The sequence below is a fragment of the Homo sapiens genome, chromosome 19, assembly GCF_000001405.40.
Source record: "Homo sapiens chromosome 19, GRCh38.p14 Primary Assembly".
NCBI lineage: Eukaryota > Metazoa > Chordata > Mammalia > Primates > Hominidae > Homo > Homo sapiens.
Genome location: NC_000019.10, coordinates 14,802,775 through 14,821,186, shown reverse-complemented (window position 1 = coordinate 14,821,186; position 18,412 = coordinate 14,802,775). Strand labels below are relative to the sequence as shown.

The 18,412-nt window shown below is 43.0% G+C and overlaps 1 protein-coding gene across 1 annotated transcript in view; it reads left to right on the top strand.

Moving 5' to 3' along the window:
* OR7C1 (olfactory receptor family 7 subfamily C member 1) overlaps positions 1 to 18,412 on the top strand; it is a 36,671-nt gene that overhangs the window by 13,999 nt on the left and 4,260 nt on the right. The window contains exon 2 of the mRNA NM_001370485.4: positions 11,194 to 11,381. The gene's annotated coding sequence lies outside the window, so the exon portion shown is untranslated. The remainder of the gene's footprint in view (positions 1 to 11,193; positions 11,382 to 18,412) is intronic.

The window sequence follows — 18,412 nt, the reverse complement described above, 5'->3', positions numbered from 1 at the left end:
AGCTCACAGCAACCTCCACCTCCCAGGTTCAAACGATTCTCCTGCCTCAGCCTCCCAAGTAGCTGGGATTACAGGCACCTGCCACTACACCCAGCTAATTTTTGTATTTTTAGTAGAGACAGGGTTTCACCATGTTGGCCAGGCAGGTCTCGTGATCCACCCACCTCAGCCTCCCAAAGTGCTGGGATTACAGGTGTGAGCCACCATGCCCGGCCCACACATGTTTTTATATGGTCCAGTAGTAGATGAGGCAGGCCTTTCTCTCACTTTTCCTTGTGGGATCTGTTCTTTGTAATTCCCAGGTATTGAGTTTTTCCCTCTTTTCTGACAAATCCAGTGGGCACTCTCTAGTCCAATTCCGTTCCTCGTGCAAGATGCAAAGACCTCCCCAGACCATACTTTAGAAAATCCTGCCCCTGCCACGACAATCTATCATTTTTCTTCATATGACTTACCTCTGGGGACTTTATGTCAGACACACATTTATTCCATTGTTTTCTGCCCTTTCCATTACAAGGTAAGATCTAAATTAGCAGGGATTTCACCTGCTTTCTTCACTGTTGTGGTTTCACAAAAAGTTGTACGTCTACATAGGAACACTTTTTTTTTTCCTGTGTGATTTTTTTTCTTTAAGGTCTGGGATACATGTGCAGAACGTGCAGGTTTGTTACATAGCTATACATGTGCCATGGTGGTTTGCTGCACCTGTCAACCCGTCATCTAGGTTTTAAGCCCCTCATGCATTAGGTATTTGTCCTAATGATCTCCCTCCCCTTGCCCCCGACCCCCCAACAGGCCCCCATGTGTGATGTTCCCCTCCCCATGTCCATGTATTTTCATTGAGAAACACATTTTTTTAAATTAAGAACTTATTAAACAAAAGGAATGGCTGGGAAAATAAAGCTTGGTTAAATAAGGTGGATTCAAAACAACCACATTGAACAAAACTGAATAAAATTCTAAAATAAATGATCTATCCCGGCGCAGTGGCTCATGCCTGTAATCCCAGCACTTTGGGAGGCCAAGGTGGGCAGATCAACCTGAGGCCAGGAGTTTGAGACCAGCCTGACTGCCATGGTAAAACCCTGTCTCTACTACAAATACAAAAAATTAGCTGGGCAGAGTGGCGGCGCATGCCTGTAATCCCAGCTACTCGGGAGGCTGAGGCACAAGAATCACTTGAACCCAAGAGGTTGAGGCTGCAGTGAGCTGAAATTGTGCCACTGCACTCCAGGCTGGGTGACAGAGCGAGACTGTATCTCTAAATAAATAAATAAACGCATAAAAATAAAATAAATGATCAAAGAAAAAGATAGAAAATAACCATTAATCACATCAACATGGGTTTCGAATTTGAGATTAAGTTGACAAAAACTTGGAAATGAAAGAATATAAAAATATACTTTCTTAAAGCAGTGGAAGAAAACAACAGTATGTAAAGTTATGATTTCATCTTATACAAACTGAAATGGATTAAAATATGCTTACATGAAGAATACACAGGAAATCTCAACGTGGGTATAAGAATATGTTCCACATAGTGGCAAAAGATAACCACTATTTTTAAAAGTAGTTCTGATTAATTGGAAACGTGGAATCAACCTAAATGCCCATCAACAATAGACTGGTTAAAGAAAATGTAGTACATATACACCCTGGAATACTATGCAGCCATATAAAGGAATAAGATCATGTCCTTTGCAGGGATGTGGCTGGAGCTGAAAGCCATTATCCTCAGCAAACTGACCCAGGAACAGAAAACCAAATACCACATGTTCCCACTTATAACTGGGAGCTGAAGAGTGAGAACACGGGGACACAGGGAGGGGAACGACACACACTGGAGCCTGTCAGGGGGTGGGGGTGAGGGGAAGGAGAGCATTAAAAAAAATAGCTAATGCATGCTGGGCTTAATACCTAGGTGATGGGTTGATGGGTGCAGCAAACCACCATGGCACATGTTTACCTATGTAACAAACCTGCATATCCTGCACATGTACCCCCGAAATTAAAATAAAATTTTAAATTTAAAAAAAATAGATCTGATTGCAAAAAAGAAAAAAGAAAGGTGGCAATAAAGAAAAAAGATGTGGACACAGGAAGGGGAATATCACACACCGGGGACTGTTATGGGGCAGGGGGAGGGGGGAGATATACCTAATGCTAAATGACGAGTTAATAGGTGCAGCACGCCAACATGGCACATGTGTACATATGTAACCAACCTGCGTGTTGTGCACATGTACCCTAAAACTTAAAGTATAATAAAAAAGAAAGAAAAAAATGTGTGAAATAAGGTGGAAATACATATAAAAGGTGATTTATTGCGATGAAATATGTAGAAAGCTTTTTAAACTCTCTAAACTATCTAAAATGCAACAGAAGGGAGATACACAGTGTGACCCACTGATAGACCTGACCGCACAAAACTGATAAACTTTAACGCATTCACCCCAAGCGCATCTATAAATACAAAAAGAACTAAATGGCAAACAACAACGTTGGTGAAAAAACGTTCACCAACTCCCATTCTTATGTTTGAAAAAAATGCAATCAAATACAGGAATGAAAACACTGCAAACTCGCTATACAAAAGCAAAGATCTCGCAAAGACTGTTTGCAATAGAAACAGGAACTATCTAACAAACCCACTAATCGATTAAGCCTCACAAGTAAGGAAGTAATTGCAAAGTAAAGCTTGCTATCATACCCCTTTTCACTTATTAAATAAACATATTTTTTTCATCTGGATAACCCGCATGAGAAAAGATACTTTAAAATGTATGACTTATCAGCCGGGCGCGGTGGCTCACGCCTGTAATCCCAGCACTTTGGGAGGCAGAGACGGGCGGATCACGAGGTCAGGAGATCGAGACCATCCTGGGTTACACGGTGAAACCCCATCTCTACTAAAAAATTCAAAAAAATTAGCCGGGCGTAGTGGCGGGCAACTGTAGTCGCAGCTACTCGGGAGGCTGAGGCAAGAGAACGCCGTGAACCTGGGAGGCGGAGCTTGCAGTGAGCCGAGATCGTGCCACTACTGCGCTCCAGTCTAGGGGACAGAGCGAGACTCCGTCTCAAAAATAAATAAATAAATAAATAAATAAATAAATAAATAAATAAAATAAATAAAATGTATGACTTATTAACTGCTGTGGCAAGGTAGCATTTGCAAATAATACATTGGTGTGATCTTTTTAATGGATACAGGAACATACTCAAAATACACCCAATATTAAAAATATTTTAAAAGCCCTCACTTTGCTGCATATCCTTTACACTTAATACTCAGTTTTTTTTCTCTCTTACCTGCAAAACTCCTTGACTATGAACTGATGTTACCAGCACCACTTTTTAGCTCCCATTCCTTCTTCAGTCTTACCAATTGGAATTCCATTCCCACCACTTAATTGTCAGCAGTGGTCTCTGCATTGCTGAGTCTAACAGACACTGCTCTTTTTAGCATACTAAATAGATTGATTATGAAATAATCAGTCAACTAAGCAAACAAACATAGCAACCTCTTGGCGCTGGCCTAAGTTGGATTGGCTCTCAGGTGACTTCAGGTAAACATTCCCAGCTTCCGTTCTCTCTGAACCTTTCCCATGAAACCTGCTGAGGGCTCCTGGGCTCACCTGGATGGGGTCTCAGAGAAGAGGATCTCCAGATGGAAGTCTGAATTTTACCCTGAATGGTTGATGATAGAGGATGAAGCTCTGTCCCCAGACGAGACAGCAGGAAAGAGTGAGGCATAGGTCCTCTAGCCAGATTTATGTTCTACATAGCGGCAAAAGATGACCACTATTTTTTAAAGTAGATCCATTAATTGGAGTGAAAACATGGACTCGACCTAAATGCCCATCAACAACAGACTGGTTGAAGAAAACGTGGTACATATACACCATGGAATACTATGCAGCCATAAAAAGGAATGAGATCATGTCCTGTGCAGAGTCTTAACAATTGAACTTCCATTCCCACCTGGAATGGGCTGAAGGGTCCCATTCAGCCCAGTCCCCAGTCTGGGACTCAGATTAGCTAGCCTACTTTTGGGGTATGATAGCAAGCTTTACTTTGCAATTATTTCCTTGTGAGGGTTAATCTATTAGTGGGTTTGTTAGACATTTTTTTTCTCTATTGTATTCTCTGAGGGCCACAGCTCCCTGTATCTGCTCATTAGGCACCTCCCCTCTTACTGCTGGAACTTACTAACCCGTAAGTGTCTGATTTCTCTGTGGACTCCTGTCTGGACAGTAAGGAAATTTTTCCTGCTCATTCTCTGTTCCCAAGAGACCATGTTAGACATTAGGTGAACCCAATTATTTATTTATTTGATTAATTTTTACTCCTTCTCCAATAACTCACCTGCCTTCCAGATATCTAACCTCCTAGCACCTTCTATTAGTCAGGCTTCTCTAGAGGGACAGAACTAATAGGATAGATATATATATGAAGTGGAGTTTATTAAGGAGTATTGACTCACATTATCGCAAGGTGAAGTCCCACAATAGATCGTCTTCAAGCTGAGCAGAAAGGAAGACAATCTGAGTCCCACAACCTCAAAATTAGGGAAGCCAATAGTGCAGCCTTCAGTCTGCGGCTGAAGGCCCAAGAACCTCTGGTAAACCACTGCTGTAAGTCCAAGAGTCCAAAAGCTGAAGAACTTGAGGTCTGATGTTCGAGGGCAGGAAGCATTCACCATGGGAGAAAGACGAAAGCTGGAAGACTCAGCAAGTCGGCTCCTTCCAATTTCTTCTGCCTGCTCTATTCTAGCCACACTGGCAGCTGATTAGATGGTGCCCACACGGATTGAGGGTGGGTCTGCCTCCTTCAGTTCACTGACTCAAATGTTAATCTTTTTTGGCAACACCCTCACAGACACACCCAGGATCAATACTTTGCATCCTTCAGTTTAATCAAGTTGACACTCAGTATTAACCATCACACACCTTATCACTCCTTTCTTTAACTTTTTAAAAGAATTTTTGTGGGTATATAGTAGATATATACACTTATGGGGTACGCTCCTTTCACTGAAAGTTTCCTCTAAAGTCAGAGACTCAGCAGAACATGGCGGCTCATGTCTGTAATCCCAACATTTTGGGAGGCCAAGTGGGGTGGATTACTTAAGCCCAGGAGTTCAAGACCAGCCTGGGCAACATAGCAAGACCCCATCTCTACAAAACATTTTTTCAAAATTAACTGGGCATGGTGGCATGTTCCTGTAGTCCCAGCTACCTGGGAGGTTGAGGTGGGAGGATCGTTTGAGCTGGGGAGGTAGAGGCTGCAGTGAGCCATGATTGCACCACTGTACGCCTGCCTGGGCAACAGAGCAAGACCTTGTCTCAACACACACACACCCAGACACAGACACACACACACACACACACACACACACACACGCACAAACTCAGAGACTCAAGGAAACTCTCTTGATTAGGTCCTTAGGATCATCAAAAAGCATTGACTTGCGGTGGGGACACAGCCCTTGATATCTCCAGAAAATTGTTTTTCCCTTCTAAACTAAGGGAAACATGTTTATGTGGCTATGTTAACTTTTAAACCCCCCACAATTTATAAATTTAGAAAAGGAAAGGAGACTTTATTTCTTGTAAAGGGTTACAGCCTGCAAGATGGCAATCCCACAGAGTGGGAAGCATAGCCTCTAGCCAATACCAGAGAGACAGGCATTTCTAAGGAGGAGGGGTTGGGGTAAGAGCTAAGAGCTTTATGCTCAATGGGTTGGCTAGACATACATATTCAACAGGTTATAGGAGGAGATATGAATATTCATGAAGCTGGCCCTGGTGCATGTGTATGAAACAAACACTCATGCAACATACAACCCATGCCCACTTTGGAGTGGAGACTTTAACATTTAAATGTATTACAAGTAGACCCTATCCCTCAAAAGTTCTTTTCAGAACAGAAAAGCACGCAAGTGAGCAGCCTCTGTAGACGAGCCAGAGCCAGTCCACAGTCAGTGGTCTTATCAGGAGAAAGTTGCCCAATCAGTCTCTTGCCCAATCAAAGCTGTAGTTATGGCTGCTGGAATAGGGGCTGGGGGTCAGTTAGTATCTGGTGGAGCTGCAAATTGTTTTAATATTGCTTACCCTGAGTCCAGAGCTTGTTTAGCTGCTAGAGAAAAATAAAAACCATTTGGCAGGTAGAACATAAATTATTCTTTAAGGGTAGGGTGTGTGACTTAATGCTTGCCGGGCATGGCGTTAGGCCCTGCTTATAATTGGGTATCTTATTGCCGCAAGAAGTCTGTTCTGCCAGTCTCATGGTCTCTATTTTATTAATGCTGGTTGGTTGTTGTGTAGTGAACCATGAAAAGGAAGGGGTATAACGAGGTGTGTTTGACCTCTCGTCCCGTCATGGCTGGAAGTGAAGTTTTAAAAGTTTTTCTGGGATTCCTTTGGCCAAGAGGAGGTCCGTTCAGTTAAGGAGCATTTTCCCGGCCAGGCATGGTGGCTTACGCCTGTAATCCCAGCACTTTGGGAGGCCGAGGCAGGTGGATCACCTGAGGTCAGGAGTTCGAGACCAGCCTGGCCAGCATGGTGAAACCCCCGTCTCTACTAAAAATACAAAAATTAGCTGGGCATGGTGGTGGGTGCCTTTAATCCCAGCTACTCAGGAGACTGAGGCAGGAGAATCTCTTGAACCCGGGAGGTGGAGGTTGCAGTGAGCCGAGATCGCACCATTGCACTCCAGCCTGGGCAACAAGAATGAAACTCTGTCTCAAAAAAAAAATACATAAATAAAGGAGCATTTTCCATATTCCTGTTGGCCATTTTGTATATCTATCCAGGTTCTTTGTCCATTTTTTAATATCAGGATATATGTTTTATTGCTATTGAGCTGTTTGGGTTCCTTATATATTTTGGATATGAATCCCTTATCAGATGGATGGTTTGTGAATGTTTCCTGCCAACCCATAGGTTGTCTTTTCACTCTGCTCATTGCTTTTCTTTGCCATTCAGAAGTTTTTAGTTTGATGTAATCTCATTTTACATTTTGTCTCCTTTTGTCGCCTGTGCTTCTGGGGTCATTTCCCAAAAATTATTGCCCAGACCAATGTCATGCAGTCTTTCCACTATGTTTTCATCTAGTAGCTCTATAGTTTCAGGTCTAATGTTTAAGTCTTTAATCCATTTTGAGTGAATTTTGTATATGGTGTGAAATAGGATCCAATTTCATTCTTACACATGTGGATATCAAGTTTTCCCAATGGCATTTATTAAAGAGACTGACCTAACCTAAGTCCTGTTGGTCATGGTGTACAATATGGTATGGCTCAGTGTCCCTACCCAAATCTCATCTCAAATTGTAATCCCCATGTGTCAAGGAAGGGGCCTGGTGGGAGGTGATTGGGTCATGGGGGCAGATTTCCCCCTTGCTGTGCTTGTGATAGTGAGTGAGTTTTCACAAGATCTGGCTGTTTGATAAGTGTCTGGCACGCCCCCCTTCTCTCTCTCTGCCTCTCTTTCCTGCTGCCTTGTGAAGACGTGTCTTGCTTCCCCTCCATTACTGTAAGTTTCCTGAGGCCTCCCCAGTCATAAGGACCTGTGAGGCAATTAAACCTTTTTTGTTTATAAATTACCCAGTATCGGGTAGTATCTTTTTTTTGATACGGAGTCTCACTCTGTCGCTGGGGCTGGAGTGCAGTGGCACAATCTTGGCTCACTGCAAGCTCCACCTCCTGGGTTCATGCCATTCTCCTGCCTCAGCCTCCCGAGTAGCTGGGACTACAGGCGCCCGCCACCATGCCTGGCTAATTTTTTGTATTTTTAGTAGAGACAGGGTTTCACCGAGTTAGATCAGGATGGTCTCAATCTCCTGACCTTGTGATCCGCCCACCTCAGCCTCCCAAAGTGCTGGGATTACAGGTGTGAGCCACTGCGCCTGGCAGGGTGGTATCTTTATAGCAGTATGAAAATGGACTAATACAGTGTATAATTATTTTTGTATATTTTGGATTTAATTTGTTAATTTTGTAATTTTGTTGAGAATTTCTGCATCTGTGTTCATATGGTATATTGGTTTGAAGATTTCCTTTCTTGTAAATGTTTTCTGGTTTGGACACTCGGATAATTTTTTTTTTTTTTTTTGAGATGGAATCTTGCTGTGTCGCCCAAGCTGGAGTGCTGGAGTGCAGTGGTGCAACCTTGGCTCACTGCAACCTCCGCCTCCCAGGTTTAAGTGATTCTCCTGCCTCAGCCTCCCAAGTAGCTGGGACTACAGGCGTGCACCACTTTGCCTGGCTAATTTTTTGTATATTTAGTAGAGATGGGGTTTCACCATGCTGGCAAGGCCGGTCTTGAACTCCTGACCTCAAGTGATCCACCCGCCTCGGCCTCCCAAAGTGCTGGGATTACAGGTATGAGCCACCATGCCCAGCCATCACCAGGATAACTTTTGCCTCATAAAATGAGTTAGGAAGTGTTCCCTCTAATTCTATATTATGGTGTAGCAGGACGAGCCGCAAACAAAACCCCTCAGACACCGAGATAGTGAAGGGAGTGGCTTTAATCAGCTGGGAGCATCGGCAGGCTAGCGTCTTAAAATCCATGCTCCCCGAGTGAGAAATTCCTGTCCCTTTTAAGGGCTCACAACTCTAAGGATTTCACATGAAAGGGTCATGATTGATTTGAGCAAGCAGGGGGTACGTGACAGGGGATGCATGCACTGGTGGCCAGAGTGGAACAGAACAGAGCAGGGAGTTTCAAAATGTTCTTTTATACAATGTCTGGAATCTATGGATAACATCGGTTTCTAAGTCATGAGTTGATTTTTAACTACTATGTTTAGGCCAGGCAGGCCCAGGCCTGGTTTTGGGCCTGGCACCGGGCTGCCTGTCTTTGATTTCACTTCTTTGTTTTTTCTTAAAACAGGTACTGAGTATAAAACAATATAAAACAATATGAGAGGGTCTCTCTCTTCCCTCAATGGAAGAGATTATAGAAAGCATGCCAGCTCTAAGTGTAGCCCCTAAGAGACCTTGCATATTTCTGCTGAGCAGTAAAGTCTCTGCTATTTCAATAAGAGCATGCCCTTGCTAATCCACTGACAAGACATATGGAGTAGAACCATCCCAGCCTGTCCACAGCATGAAGCAGAGCTGCCCCAGTCACTGCAGCAAAGACTGAACAACACACACCAGGAAGCTCAATAAAAAGCACCTACACCCCATAGGTCCACAGTAGTAAATAACTTAGTGCAGGGGTCCCCAACCCCTGGGCCACAGACCAGTACTGGTCCACAGCCTGTTAGGAGCTAGGCCGCACGGGAGGAGGTGAGCAGCAGGTGAGCAAGTGAAGCTTCATCTGTATTTACAGCTTGCATAATAAAAGATTAGAGTATGGTGGATAGTCTGACAGTCCTTTTAATAGGTGAATTACAGTAGCAGAAATGAAGCCATATTTAACTTTTCTTTAAATTTTAGTGTCCTCTGTGATTATCAGCTCCCTGTATCTGAATCTACCCTCTAAGCTGGGGGTCAGCAAACTACTGCCCACAGGCCAAATCCTACCCACAGCCTCTTTGTAAAAAGGCTTTATTTGAGCACAGTAAGTTTGGTGAGTTGAATGTTGGCCCCCCTAAAGGATAAGCTCACATCCTCACCCCTAGTGCCAGTGAATGTAGCCTTATTTGGATGAAGAGTCTTTACAGATACAATTAGGCATCCTGAGATGAGATCATCCTGGATTATCCAGGTGGACCTTAAATTCAATGACACAGTGTCTTTATAAGCGACATGCACAGGAGAAAACACACACAGGTGCAGAGGAAACCAAATGACACAGACAGAGGAGATTGAAATGACGCAGCTGCAAGGTCAGGAACACCTGGAGCCATAGAGCATGGAAAAGCCGAGGAACAGAATCACCGTTAGAGACTCTGGAGGAAGCCTGGCCCTTCTTGCACCTTGATTTTGGACTTCTGGACTCCAGAACTATAAGAGAATACATTCCTGTTGTTTTCAGCCACCCAGTTTGTGGTTACATGTGACAGCAGCCACAGGAGGCTAATACAAACAGCCATGCCCATTAGTGTCAGTATTGCATACACCTGCATTCACAGCAATGGCAGAGTTAAGTATTGTGACAGAGAACATAGGACCCAAAAAGCCTAAAATATGTACCACTGAGCCCTTTACAAAAATGTTTGCCAGTGCATGCTCTTAGTCACTGTCAGGTGCTGATTATTTTTTATCCAAATTCCTTCCCATTGGGAAGAAATGCTCCAAATAACATACATAGAAATATAGCCCAAAAAATTAGATCATGTGGATTAAAAATATGAATGTGTTTAGCCCAGATGAAGAAACCGAATAACTGAACTCAGAGAAACTGAGACAAGAAAACGCTAACTCTGCAGCCAAAATGAGCCTTTTTTACTCTCTACCAAGGGAAATGGCCCATTAATTTTTCTCCAGAATCTGTCTCCAGTGTCCAGAATAGAAGCCAGGACAAAGCTGCAGTTAAGAGCTCATTTCGGGCCTGGCGCCATGGCTCACGCCTGTAATCCCAGCACTTTGGGAGGCTGAGGCGGGCGGATCATGAGGTCAGGAGATTGAGACCATCCTGACTAACATGGTGAAACGCTATCTCCACTATAAAAAAAAAAAAAAAAAATTAGCCGGGCATGGTGGCGGGCGCCTGTAGTCCCAGCTACTCGGGAGGCTGAGGCAGGAGAATGGTGTGAACCCGGGAGGTGGAGCTTGCAGTGAGCCAAGATTGCGCCACTGCACTCCAGCCTGGGCGACAGAGCAAGACTCCATCTCAAAAACAAAAAACAAAAAAAAAAAACTCATTTTGGTTGAATGTGGTTAGGGGACAAAACCATATGTCTAAGTCTAACACTGGAAACCGAGTGTCCCTCAGAAACTTGGAGATTCATGAGGTGGTTCCTGAGATGTGCCCTGGAAGAGGGGTCATTTCCAGTGTTGGGGGAAGGATGTTCATTCTAAGGGAGATGAAAACCATCGAATAGAAAGGAATATGTGTCTAGTCCCAAAGGTGAGCCCACGGGGAATGAACTGGCAGAAACACTTTTTATTTATATTGCTTGGCCTCCAAGGAGCTGAACTGCTTGGAGAATTGAGCAACAATAAAACAACTTATTTAATGAGGAGCCCTGAGAATTCAGCCTCCGGTTCTCCATAAACTGTAAATTCTCCCTTTGCAGAACCCACCTGCAGTTCACCAGCCCCAGACCAAGAGCACCTTCTCTATGCCTCTCTGAAATGTCCATCCACTCCAGAGAACCAGCCCCTGACACCCACCCCCTTGCCCTGCCTGCACCGATTGTGCAAGGAGGGAAGGTCAACAGAGCCAAGTCCATTGAGGGATATCAAGAGAAGCCAGAGTAAACCCGTAAGTACTGTGGGAAAGTTTTGTGGAGGGAAGAAAAGCTTTTATTAACCAAGTCTTCTGGGAAACAGCCAGAAATGATGAGATGGTGAAAGAGGATTGATTCAAAGTCCTGAGCAGTTTGTGTCCCTCGCTCTGAAGGGGATTCTTGCAGCCGGTCCTCTCTCTGTTCTTGCTTCCAATCTCTGTTTCTTCTTGCTTCCAATCTCTGTTTCTTCTTGCTTTCAATCTCTGTTTCTTCTTGCTTTCAATCTCTGTTTCTTCTTGCTTCCAATCTCTGTTTCTTCTTGCTTTCAATCTATGTTTCTTCTTGCTTTCAATCTCTGTTTCTTCTTGCTTTCAATCTGTTTCTTGCTCTCCATTACTGTTTCTTCTTGCTTTCAATCTCTGTTTCTTGCTTTCAATCTGGCACAATTCCAGGGCCACTCTCTTCCTGCAGCCGGATCTGACCTTCCTTTACGTATGTGCAAGCCTCAGGATTCGGCTCTATTTCAACTTTACCATCTCCTCGTATTTATGAAGCATTGTGAGTGAGAAAGGCCCTGACTTGGAGTTGGGCAGGTGTGAGTTTTACTTCAGCGTTTTCCCTCTAGAACCTGACCCCAGAGATGTTTCTTACATTCTGTGGATCAATCCCTCATCAGCACAACAGTGAGTTTAAGGAGATCTCAGAGAATGCTTTTGAAAGTAGAGATACAATGGGTCAAATTCAGGGCTGAGTGTCACTCGAAACACACCATTGATTTATTTGTTCATTTACATAACATGTTCCAAAAGAATTTCAAGAAACCTACTCAATATGCAAAACAAAGAAAAATATCTTAAATGTATATGACAAAGGAAATATTGTAACAGAAGTAAAAAAAGGGGGGCATACAACGAGGTGCATAATTACAGAAGTAATCAAAATATATTTCACCAAATGTTACATAGTAGCCCAAATTGGGCCCCGATATGACTCTATGAGTTCTAACGAGGACAAAGCATTCTGTGCTGTTAGGTTGAAATGTGTCTACATAAATGGAAAAACTTTTATTTTACAGATGTAATGAATGCAAGTACGTTTGTGTTACATAGATACATTGCATAGTGGTGAAGTCTGGACTATTAGTGTAACCATCACTCAAATAGTGTACATTGTACCCAATAGGTAATTTCTCAAACCTCATCCCTCCCACCCTCCCACTTTTTGGAGTCTCCAATGCCTACTATTATTCCATTATCTATGCCCATGGTATACATTGTTTGGCTTCTGCTTATAAGTGAAAACATATGGTATTTGATTTTCTGTTTCCAAGTTATTTTACTTAGGATAATGGCCTCCAGTTCCATCCATGTTGCTGCACAAGACATGAATTCATTCTTTTTATGGCTGAGTAGTATTCCGTTGGCTGTATATATACCACATTTTATTTATCCAATCATACATTGGTGGACACTTAAGTTGATTCTATGACTTGGCTATTGTGAATAGTGCTGTGATAAACGTATTAGTTCAGGTGTCTTTTGTGTAATGATTTCTTTTCTTTGGGGTATATACCCACTAGTGGGATTGCTGGATTGAATGGTAGTCCTACTTTTAGTTCTTTGGGAAATCTCCATACTGTTTTCCATAGAGACTGAATTAATTTGCGTTCCCACCAACAGCACATAAGCAGTCCCTTTTCTCTGCATCCTCACCAACATCTGTTGTTGTTTTTTTTTTTTTTATTTCTTTAAAATAACCATTCTGACTGGTGTAAGATGGTATCTCATCGTGGTTTTAATTTGCATTTATCTGATGATTACACCAGTCAGAATGGTTTATTATTAAAGAAATAAAAAAATATGTTGGTGAGGATGTAGAGAAATTTTTGAGCAATTTTTCATGTTTGTTGACTGCTTCTAAAGACTGTTTGTTTGTTTTTTTTTTTGAGACTGAGTCTCGCTCTATCACCCAGGCTGGAGTGCAGTGGCACAATCTCGGCTCACTGCAAGCTCCGCCTCCTGGGTTCACGCCATTCTCCTTCCTCAGCCTCCTGAGTAGCTGGGACTACAGGCACCCACCACTATGCCCAGCTGAATTTTTGTATTTTTAGTAGAGACAGGGTTTCACCGTGTTAGCCAGGATGGTCTCAGTCTCCTGACCTCGTGATCCACCACTGTTTTAATTCAATCAGGAGTTAATGTGTCTCCTCCCTAAAAGAATGGGTCACCATGATCACTCTGTGCTAACCTGAGGCACAAGGGTTTACTCTATCTCTCTGCTGCCCCATCTTTAATGTGTTGTTTTCCAAGATATATCAGCTAAGGGAATTCCAGTGTCATGTGCAAATCCCAGGCAAGAAAGAGATGAACAGAGGGGAAGGATTCTAAAGAGGATTCCAGGATTCCCATCAAATAAATTCCTATGCTTCAACTCTCCATGATTTTGCAATAGAGAGTGGAAAATATAGTATCTTAGCTGGACACATGACCACTTCCAAATATAATTGAGTTCTATTAATAACAAAAAAAGAATGGATATATTGGGTAGGCAATCTCTGGCACAATGATCAATTACAAGATTAGCAGGATCCATAACATTAAAACAAAAAAGTGCTTAATAGAAGCATGGCCATCCCTACATGAACAGACACTTCTCAAAAGGAGACATTTATGCGGCCAACAAACATGAAAAAAAGCTCAACATCACTGATCATTAGAGAAATGCAAATCAAAACCACAATGAGATACCATCTCATGCCAGTCAGAATGGCAATTATTAAAAAGTTAAGAAATAACAGATGCTGGCAAGACTGTGGAGAAATAGGAATGTTTTTACACTGTTGGTGGTAACCTATATTAGTTCAACCATTGTGGAAGACAATGTGGCAATTCCTCAAGGATCTAGAACCAGAAATACCATTTGGCCCAGCAATCCCATTACTGGGTATATACCTAAAGGAATATAATTCATCCTATTATAAATATACATCCACACATATGTTTATTGCAGCACTATTCACAATATCAAAGACATGGAATCAACCCAAATGCCCATCGATGATAGACTGGATAAACAAAATTTTGTGCATATACACCACAGAATACTACGCAGCCATAAAAAGGGACAAGACCATGTCCTTTGCAGGGACATGGATGAAGCTGGAAGCCATCATCCTCAGCAAACTAACACAGGAATGGAAAACCAAACACCTCATGTTCTCACTCATAAGTGGGATCTGAACAATGAGAATGCATGGACACAGGGAGGGGAACAACACATACTGACGCCTGTCAGTGGGAGTTGGCAGAGGGAGCGCATCAGGATAAATAGCTAATGCATGCAGGGCTGAATACCTAGGTGATGGGTTGACAGGTGCAGCAAACCACCATGGCACACATTTACCTGTGTAACAAATCTGCATGTCCTGTACATGTATCCTGGAACTTAAAATAAAACTTAGCAACATGGCCATTCCTGACATGAAGGCATAAAATACATTAATGACTGTTTCTCTTAAAGCAGTCACATTGTGTGATGGAAGGAGCAATGTTTCCAGCCAATTCCCTTGAAGGAATCCAAAAACACATTTTTAGATTCTTGAAATGTTCCTTAATGTAGGCTAAAGACCTCACACACAGTAACAGCCACACAGCAGTAGAGGGGAGCCAAGGACACTAGGTATTGCCCAGGTATTCAGGAGCCCTGAAAAAAATAGCAGTAAACCTTGTCTTGAGTTAAAGCACATCTCATTGAGTGACAAGAACATTTAGACTCTAAATAGTACAGACTTATTGTATAATACCATCATAGTTAGAGGACAATTTTCTGTATTATTAACATTAATTTGGTGTCTCCAATTAACAAGTCACCATCTGGTCTTACTTTGATGTCCAAATTACATTTTTGGATTGACTCATATCAGTATATGTCCCAGAACTGTTGTAATTTTTAGATAGCAGTCTTATATAAATGGGATAATAAAAATAGCTGGTCCCTCTCAAAGTTTGTGACTTAAAAATGTTATTACTAGATCCCTAATGGATGGTCACATGTGGAAGGTAGAAAAAGAAAACCCAATGAAGCTGGTCATTCAGATTATTTTTTGTCACACAGAAATAATTTCCCAGGCCGGGCATGGTGGCTCACGCCTATAATCCCAGCACTTTGGGAGGCCGAGAAAAGTGGATCGCTTGAGGTCAGGAGTTCGAGACCAGCCTGGGCACATGGCAAAACTCTGTCTCTACTAAAAATACAAAACAAGGCCGGCTGTGGTGGCACATGCCTTTTATCCCAGCTACTCAGGAGGCTGAGGCAGGAGAATCACTTGAACCCAGTAGGCGGAGGTTGCAGTGAGCTGTGATCATACCACTGCACTCCAGCCTGGGTGACAGAGTGAGATTCTGTCTAAAAAAAAAAAAAAAAAAAAAAAAAAAATTATTTTCCTGTTTCTTGGGTCCTGCCTCAGTGGACCATCATGGGAGACATGAAGATGCTCCAGGGATGGTCCTAGATTACAGAAGGCACCAGGGTCTCAATGAGCCTTGAATCAATGTGCATCTCATTCCCCTTGAGTGTGAGGAAGCTCTAGCCCCAAGAACTCTCAGATTTTTTTTTGCAGGCAGGAGGAGTACAGACTGGGGACCTTCTTTGGGCATTCTGCAGCGTAGTGATCAAAGCTGAACAAGAAATGTTCCTTCTAACCCCCGTGCTTGTGAATTCAAACATTGAGGCCATATACATAGCAGAGGAATTTAATAGGAATTCAATAGGCAATCAAACTTCCTATCTATCTAGATCCACTAGCTTCTGGGTGTGACGGTGCATTCTTGTAGTCTCAGCTACTTTGGAGGCTGACATGTGAGGATTGCTTGAGCCCAGGAGGTCAAGGCTACAGTGAGTCATGATTGCACCACTGCACTCCAGCCTGGGCAACAAAACAAGACCTTGTCTCAAAAAAAAATTATTGAGATGAAATTAATATAACATAAATTAACCAGTTACTTGAAAGCAAGCAATTGAGTGCCATTCACTACATTCTGTGTTTTGCGCAACCACCATCTCTATCTAGTTTCAAAACATTTCCATTACTCCTAAATAAAACCACTTACACATTACAGTAGCACTTTATCCTCATCCCCTACCCCCGCTCCCCAGTCCCTGCGACTCGTTATCCTGCGACTCGTTTATGTATTGTGGCTATTTCATGTAAATGAGATTGCATGTAAACGAAGAAGCCCAGGCATTGAGCCTCAGTAAAGGCTTCCTTGGGGTCAGGTTCTACTAATTAATTATTCTTTCCTTTGCTATACTTTCTTGTTTCATTGCATGTCTCATAATATTTCATTACAACTAAATATTTTGAATATTATAGTGTGGCGACTCTGGAAATCAAATTTTCTCTCCTCCTTGGGGTTTATGGTTGCTGCTTTTTGTAATTTGCAGTTGTTTACTTGCCTAATGAGTCTTCTAATTTTATAAAGATTGCATATTTGTCCAGTGTGTGGTTGCTGAAGTCTCTAGGCTGTTAGCTTAATGGCCAGAGAGTGATTTGATAAGAGATTTCCTTAAACAGTGGAGCCCAAAACCAAAATCTCCCAACCTTTGCAGTTTGGCTCTGTATGTGCTTTCAGACAGGCCTTTACCACTCAGCTGAGCATTTTTCAACTCCAGCCTTTGCCTTAACTTCCTACTTGCACAGAGCTTGAATATCAGCTACAGGTGAGAGGTCAGGGCCTTCTAGATGTTTACTTAGCATGCAATCCTGGGTAGGACACCTATGTATCCTACATTCCCAGGAATCTTTCTGATATAGGAGTTAAAAAGAAATATTTAGGCCAGGCACGGTGGTTCACGCCTGTAATCCCAGCACTTTCGGAGGCCGAGGCAGGTGGATCACGAGATCAGGAGATCAAGACCATCATGGCTAACACGGTGAAACCCCGTCTCTACTAAAAATACAAAAAATTAGCTGGGCTTTGTGGCACGCGCCTGTAGTCCCAGCTACTCAGGAGGCTGAGGCAGGAGAATCACTTGAACCCAGGAGGCAGAGGTTGAAGTGAGCCGAGATCGCGCCACTGCACTCCAGCCTGGGCGACACAGCGACACTCCGTCTCAAAAAAAAAAAATTATTATTATTATTATTATTTAGGTAGATAGGGAGGGTAAGGAAGTCCTTGGTAAGGTTTCCCTTTTAATAAAAAGCAGCCCCCAAATAATTTCTTTTCTAACAAAAAGCAGCCTGTAAAATCAAGCTGCAGATATAGATAATCAAGCTGGAACCCTGCACGGGTGAATGCTGGCAGCTGTGACAAATAGGAAAAGGCTGTCTGGGAGCCAGGCATGTTCAACATGGTGACTCCATCTTCCCTTTTCCTTGCAAACCACGTGTACAGTAAGGAGAAGACAACATGGCAGCGACCCGCAAAGACCCCATCTGCATAATAGAAGATTAGGATGGAGCAGCCAGCTTCCTCCGGACTATGTAAACGTCACACCTGGTCCAACCAATCTTTTCTTTTTTTTTTTTTTTTTTTGGAGACATAGTCTCCCTCTATCACCCAGGCTGGAGTGCAGTGGTGTGATCTCGGCTCACTGCAACCTCCATCTCCCAGTTTCAAGTGACTCTTGTGCCTCAGGCTCCCAAGTAGCTGGGATTACAGATGCGCACCACCACACCCAGCTAATTTTTGTATTTTTAGTAGAGACGGGGTTTCACCATGTTGGCCAGGCTGGTCTTGAACTCCTGACCTCAGGTGATCCACCTGCCTCAGCCTCCCAAAGTGCTGAGATTACAGGCGTGAGCCACGACGCCTGGCCCCAACCAATCTTTGGGCCCTATTTAAATCAAACACTGCCTCCTCAAGCCAGTCTATAAAATCCAGTGTACTTTGCTGCCAGCAGGAAGTCCCACTCAGGCACGTTCTCCTTTCTCTTTCTTTTGCCTATTAAACCTCTGCTTCTAAACCCACTTTTTGGGTGTCTGCGTACTCAATTTCCTTGGCGTGAGATGAGGAACCTTGGGTATTTACCCCAGACAACGACAGAGCTTCACCTCTACATTCCCAGG